The 6,152-nt window shown below is 51.3% G+C and overlaps 1 long non-coding RNA gene across 1 annotated transcript, besides 1 other annotated feature; it reads right to left on the minus strand.

The window, feature by feature from the left end:
* Window positions 1-614: 614 nt before the first annotated feature.
* LOC124901902 (uncharacterized) lies at window positions 615-3,007 on the minus strand. The gene is made up of 2 exons (XR_007060846.1): window positions 2,105-3,007; window positions 615-1,835 (listed from the first exon to the last, which is right to left on the minus strand). It is a non-coding gene; the product is annotated as an uncharacterized LOC124901902 (long non-coding RNA).
* Window positions 864-2,063: an enhancer, noted in NCBI's record as "CDK7 strongly-dependent group 2 enhancer chr8:21024826-21026025 (GRCh37/hg19 assembly coordinates)". NCBI's record gives its function as "activates an origin of replication core promoter dependent on BRD2, BRD4, P300/CBP, MED14 and CDK7 cofactors, with strong dependence on CDK7, by STARR-seq in HCT116 cells {active_cell/tissue: HCT116}" and the evidence as "EXISTENCE:reporter gene assay evidence [ECO:0000049][PMID:35650434]".
* Window positions 3,008-6,152: the final 3,145 nt, after the last annotated feature.

Below are 6,152 nucleotides of genomic sequence, written 5' to 3' on the forward strand. Positions count from 1 at the left end.
ATCTGTCCCACCTCTGCCCTGGCTCCAATACTTGGCTATGATATTAGATATCCATCTGCCTCTCATGCCTACAGACTTTTGCCTCTGTCCATCCAGAGCTGACCAGTTCCCACTGCACTTTCTTGATACACAGCAGTCACTTAATAAGGCTGCTTGGTGGCAATGAAGGATACAATGGGGGGCCAGTGACCTTGCTGAGGGACTGGCTCAGTTGGAGGCAGGACCATGAAACTGGGCTTTCCTGCTCCACTTTCTTTCTCCCTTGATTCCTGCCTTCTGCCAATCCTCTTAAAACAGCAAAAACCCTATTCTTTCTTCTCTTTTTCTCTAATAAATGTGTTCTTAGACACAATAAATGGGTTCTTAGAACTCTTAAGGTTCTTAAACAACCTTAACGTTGTTATTAAGTTGTGACTCGAGCACTCTCTGATCCAGGAACGTGGCTACTTAAGTGAGGATCCTGGCTCAGTCCTTCCTCTAGAGAAAGTTGTGGTCCAGTTGGGAGAAGGGTTCCCAGGTCACCCAAGCAGTCGGCAGAAGAGCCAATGCCTGTCTCTAAGCCGTGTATGTTCAGCTCCCTCACTGAAGACCTCTCAAGGGAAGGAAAGCCAACAGCCATTCATCGAGCATTTATTGTGAGTACCAGACCCTGCACAGGAGTTTGAACTAGGAGTGGCTCTCAGTTAATCTTCATCACAAGTTTACGAAGTCCAAACGCCCATTTCACAGGTGAGGAAAGAGCATGAGAAGAGACGAAGACACAGGAAATGGGGATGGGGACATGGGGAATAGTAACAGCTTAGTCTGGCAAGTGTTAGTGGGGTAGCCCTGGATCTTGGGAACATGCCTCCCTCTTTTGTCCTTGACTTTCTCATCTGAGTATGAGAGAGCTGGACTTAATGACCTCTGAGTTCTATTCCAGTTCTTTTTCACTCTCAGAGTAATGCATGATCCCCAGGAAAGTCCCCTCCACTGGAGGAGGATGTCCAAAACATTCCTGTTGGACCACAGTTCTCTCTGGGGAAGCAACCTGGGCTTCACTTTCCCGTGGCTGCCCAGTCTCACCCACAACATGGCAGCACCAAGATTTTAAGACAGGGTCCTGTGGGACTTGCAACAAAGCACCAGATGAGAGATTCAGCCTGCATACATCCTAGGAGATTTGCCTGGGCTGCATGCTCCAGGTTTTGGGCTAGGACAGGGGAGAAGGTGAAACTAAGGGCGGGTTTGGAAGGAGGAGTCAAACCACAAAGAAAATCCTACAGGCTTTCTTCTGGGAATGTTCTCTGTGGTCTGGGAGTACAGGCAGTTCTAGAGTCTTCCCAAGAGAAAACATACTTGTTATCCCCCTTTCAAGAAAGCAAAGACATGCACCTTCAGAATTCACAGATCTTGTTGTCTTTTTGCCCCCCAGTGGAATCCAGGCGATCCCCTGCGATGATTCTCAAGCTCTAATTTGAGCAGCTGGACCTCTTGAACTCTGGTATGTGGAAGTGGAGCTGCTTGCCAGCCTTTAGAGAAGGGTGCAGCAGAGATTCGCCCTCCCTCAGTTCACACCCACTTTGTTCCAGGGTGGGGCGTCCATTGCAAACGACAAAACCAACAAGACAAAATACAATCACGGGCAGTACAACTCAACTCGCTCAAACAACCAGGAATTTTACAATCTCACAGCATGGAAAATCCAAAGACAGGTGGCTCTGTTGACTTCACGTCCTCACAGGATGAGGCTGTTCTTTGTTTTGTTTCTGATGCTCTGCCACATTCAGAATGTTCAAGATGAGGGTAACTTCTCCAGGTCTCTCCCATCGGGGTCACAAGACAGCTGCCATTCACTGAGAAAGACATGGAGTCGTTCATTCTTGCCATCTTTTTAAAAAACAGAACTTCCCCGGGAGCTCTCCAACCCCTGCAGCCCTCATCGGCCCGGGATGCTTGACACACACAAGTTATGCCTTGCCAAAACCCATCGTCTGCACTCAGGACAGGGTACGGCTGTGCAGCCCTGAATGAGATAACTAAGTGGAGAATGGTGGATGTCTAAACTCAGTGCAGGCTCAGTTAGGAAAGGAGAAGGCTTTCCTGCCCAGGATCTGGTACTCACAATAAATGCTCGATGAATGGCTGTTGGCTCTCCTTCCCTTGAGAGGTCTTCAGTGAGGGAGACGAACATACGTGGCTTAGAGGCAGGAAAGGGTGTGAATTGCACAGACAAATGGCATCATGCGCTAAAGAGGGCCCAGCTTCCCTAGGCCCGGCGGACTTGGCTTCTCACCTGGCTCTCCAACTAACTGGTGCTCATCTGCTTGGCTTTCCACCAACCAATTGCCTTTTTTCTCTTTCATCCAGCCAGCCTCGGGACAAAATCCAAATGTTGGTCAAAGTCCTTTTTCTCCCAGGTAGGGAGACTGTGAGCCTGGGCTCCAGCCAGAGAGGATGTGCTGCTGTCCAGGGCCCACAGGAAGGCTGCACGGTTCATGCATCCTGGTGTCCCCATGAGAATGCATCTCATTGCCCAGGTGCTCAAGGCTGCCAGGCTGGAGGAGTGCACATGATGGTGAAGACGACCTTGGTCACTGGAGCTTTCCACATGTGGACACTATGCATATAGTATCATGCGTTCCTCCATTCTAGCTGTGTGACTTTGGGCAAGTAACTGAGTATCTCCACTACCTCAATTTCCTTATAAATATATATAATGTGTGTATATATATATGTGTGTGTATGTGTGTATAATTTATGTAACTATGTATATAATAGTAGCAACCTCATAGGAGCATGTAAGAATTATCTGGGTTCCTACATGTAAAACTGTCAGCACAGAGTAAGTTCTCAAGAAATGGGAGCTCGTCACCATCACCGCCCTTGTCATCAACATCATCACGGTTATACAGAAGACATTCATCACAGTCTCACGATGCCAAAGCAGGCTGCCTTCAAGTGAAGAGTCTAGAATGGCAGACTCCCAGTAAGCTTCACCACCGAGGCCTCAGACACTGCTGACCTCCTGGGGATAGAGGGGATGGACTCAGGCTCTGACCCTCCTTGCCCCAGAAGCTCCAATGGTGGGAGGAGGAACACCCCTGGAGCTGATAAACTGGGTGACTCCTCAGAGCCTTGCATCTTGTGGGCTCATGACGTCAATCATGCTGCCCCACCCACAGCCCTTCCTCCCTCCCCACACCTGACATGCGTACAGACACTCCTCATGACCCTCCCTTCTGCCCTTTGCACCCTTCCATTGCTCTACCCTCTCACGAGGCTGACTGTCGGTAGCTGCGCTGGAAGCAACCACAGGGCAAGGGAGGCATCTCTAGGCTATTTGCCTCCAGCTCCAGGAGCAGCCCTGGAAAGACAAGCGAGGGGGTGAGAGTGGGGGAGAGCTGATTCTTTGTACTTCCTCACACAGGAACATCAGGAAGCCCATATGGTGCTACCGTCTGGCTGAGTTTAGGGGCGGGAGAGCTGGGAGGACAGCGCAATGCCCCCTGCAGTGGCTCGGAAGGAAGAAGTCAGTGATGTGTGCGGGTTTGATAGGATGGCGCCATGTGTGTTCAACACACAGTCTGGGGCCACGGCCGGCACATTCTCCCTTAAAAATACCCTGCTTAGCTAAATTACCTCTGCTTTCTGAAAATGCAGCTCCTCCAGCTGGACTTTCTCTCTGTCCCTCCCTCTCTGCACACTCGTCTACCCTGCGTTCTCCGTACTCTTCCCTCTGTTTCCACACACATCCATCCTCCTTCCCTTTTCCCTCCGTGTCTGGCTTTCCCTCCCTCTGGGCAATCCCACATTTTCTCTCCCAGACACCTCCCCTTGCTCTCCGTGGGGCCTCTTCTCCCTAGTGAAGCTCCTGTCAGCCCTGCTATCTGGGTTCACTCCAGCCCAGCCCAGCCTAGCTCAGGCCTACTGGACCCAGCCCCCACTGCCCTCTTCAACTCCCCACCCTGGGGTCTTCCCTCTAGAAATCAGGTTCACCAGCATCGCATAGCCCATTGACTGCCACCAAACGCTCAGTGGAAGGAGTGATTGATAAGAGGCGCTGCACAGGGAGGTGAGGGCAACAAGGCTCAGCTCTGAGCCCAGAGGCCCCCTCCCCTCTGCAGGATGTGAACGGAGCCAGGCAGAGAGCAGACGCGCGGACATGCGCATAGGCATTGCGGCAAGGAGGCTGGAAAAAATGGGGAGGGGGCACCCATAATACCACACGGGAGCCCCAGAGGAGAGGACGGCTCCTGGGGTGCATGAGAGCAACCTGCTCACAAGGACAAGAACCCGGAACAGGGAACCAGCCTGGCAGGTGAAGAGGCTATGAGCGGTGATGGTTCTGGCCCGACAACAGTGGTGGTAGCAGTGAGAAGGTAGGGAGAGCACAGGCCAAGGGGAGATAAATAGCCCAGGTGTTAGATTGAGGGTGACATCAGTGGGCAGAGGAGGCATGGCCACATTTTCCAGTCCAGGATTGGGAGGAAGCACCTGTGAGCTTGATATTTTTAGCATTTAAGACTTGAATACGTTAAATTCAGAGCAAAATGGTCAAGTCAGCCACATGTGCCCTTAGCAACCTCCTGTCCATCTTCTGCAGCTTCAGCCTTGCCCTGAGGGAAGTGTGGGTCATATCACCTGGGAGAGGGGAATACAAGGAGCCTTAAAGGGCCCCCAGTCCTGCAAGACAAAAGAGCTATATGCCATCCACTGCAGGAACAGGAACTTAAGAGAAAATGGCATCTTCCAGGGAAGTCACAAGGGCTACAAAAGCAGAGTCCTGTTGCAGGAGAGGGTAGCCAGCCAGCCCTGGGGACCATGACTAGGAAACAGTTTTATTTTTCTAACAAATGTCCCTCCACACTTCTCTCTCAGAGCCCCGACTCTCTCACTGGGCAGCAGCTTCCTGAATGGCATCTTGGCCTAATTCCATCACCTACCAGCCACTTTCATTTATTAGAACAGTATCACAGTGGTCCTTAAGACTTGGTCTTGTTCATTTTAAAACTTCAATCTCAAACTCAGATCAAAGCTCCCCTCCTGTGGCTATAGCAGCCTGGTGTGTGTGTGTGTGTGTGTGTGTGTGTGTGTGTGTGTGTGTGTGTGTGTGTGTGTGTGTGTGTTAGGGATGAAGAGGATTGTGTTGCTAGATTTTGCAAATAAAAATATAGGGTGCCTGGTGAAATTTGAATTTCTGATGAATATTGAATATTGAATGAAAATATCCAAATGCATTTTTAGGGTATTTCCTAGGCAATATTTAGGACATATTTATGCTGAAACATATTCATTGTTATCTGAAATTCACCTTGAACTGGGCATCCTGTATTTTACCCGGGGACCCTGGGGTGAGACTCCAGGGCATCCCTGGACATCCCTGCCTGTTCTCAGCCCCAGGGATGGCCTCAGCAGAGACACACCCAGCTGGCAGGCATCCTTCAGGGGCTGCCCTTGAGTCTCCGGCTATCACCCACCTCCCTCTGTGCAGCGGGCATCACCATGCCAGCTCCCAGGGGGTACACACTGTGGTGCCGTGGACCCAGCTCCACTGCCCCATTCCCCCAGGGGGAGGCTTCAGTTCTGCTCAAGCTCTGCCATCCCCTCTCACCTCCTGCTGCCAAATCTCTGCTGCTAGATCTCTGCTGCTGACCCCACCTGTCTAGGGTGGGGAACTCCAGAGACTCCATCATCCTTATCAGTTGGGGAAACCACAGGCCATCTCTCTCTCATGCTGTTTCTGCCTGTTTGTGTCACAAAGGGACAGATCAGCCAGCCTGCAGGATAGGCAGACACTGGCTGGGCACACAATGCCTGTCTTGCCTCTTCGTAGAAACCCTGGTCTATATGAGTGACTCTCTCACAGCTTCCCTCTCTCATCATAGAGGAAAAAAATCATTTTCCTCTTCCCCAGTCAACTTCCCTTCTCACCGTCTTCCCCTTGCATGAACTAGGGAGGCAGAGGTGGGCACAGTGGAGGCATCAGTTCCAGCTCCACGGTAAGCCCTGCGCGATTCTGCTGGCCCAGCTGCAGGGACTCCCTGCACCTAGAAGGTGGGGAACTTAGTGTTCTCTGTGCTGAGATTTGGGCCTTAGTCCCCATTCCCGGACAGCAGGAGAATCCCACTTGACATCTTGTTGCCATCAATGTCATTCCTGTCTAAAGCCAG

The sequence above is a fragment of the Homo sapiens genome, chromosome 8, assembly GCF_000001405.40.
Source record: "Homo sapiens chromosome 8, GRCh38.p14 Primary Assembly".
NCBI classification, from domain to species: Eukaryota; Metazoa; Chordata; class Mammalia; order Primates; family Hominidae; genus Homo; species Homo sapiens.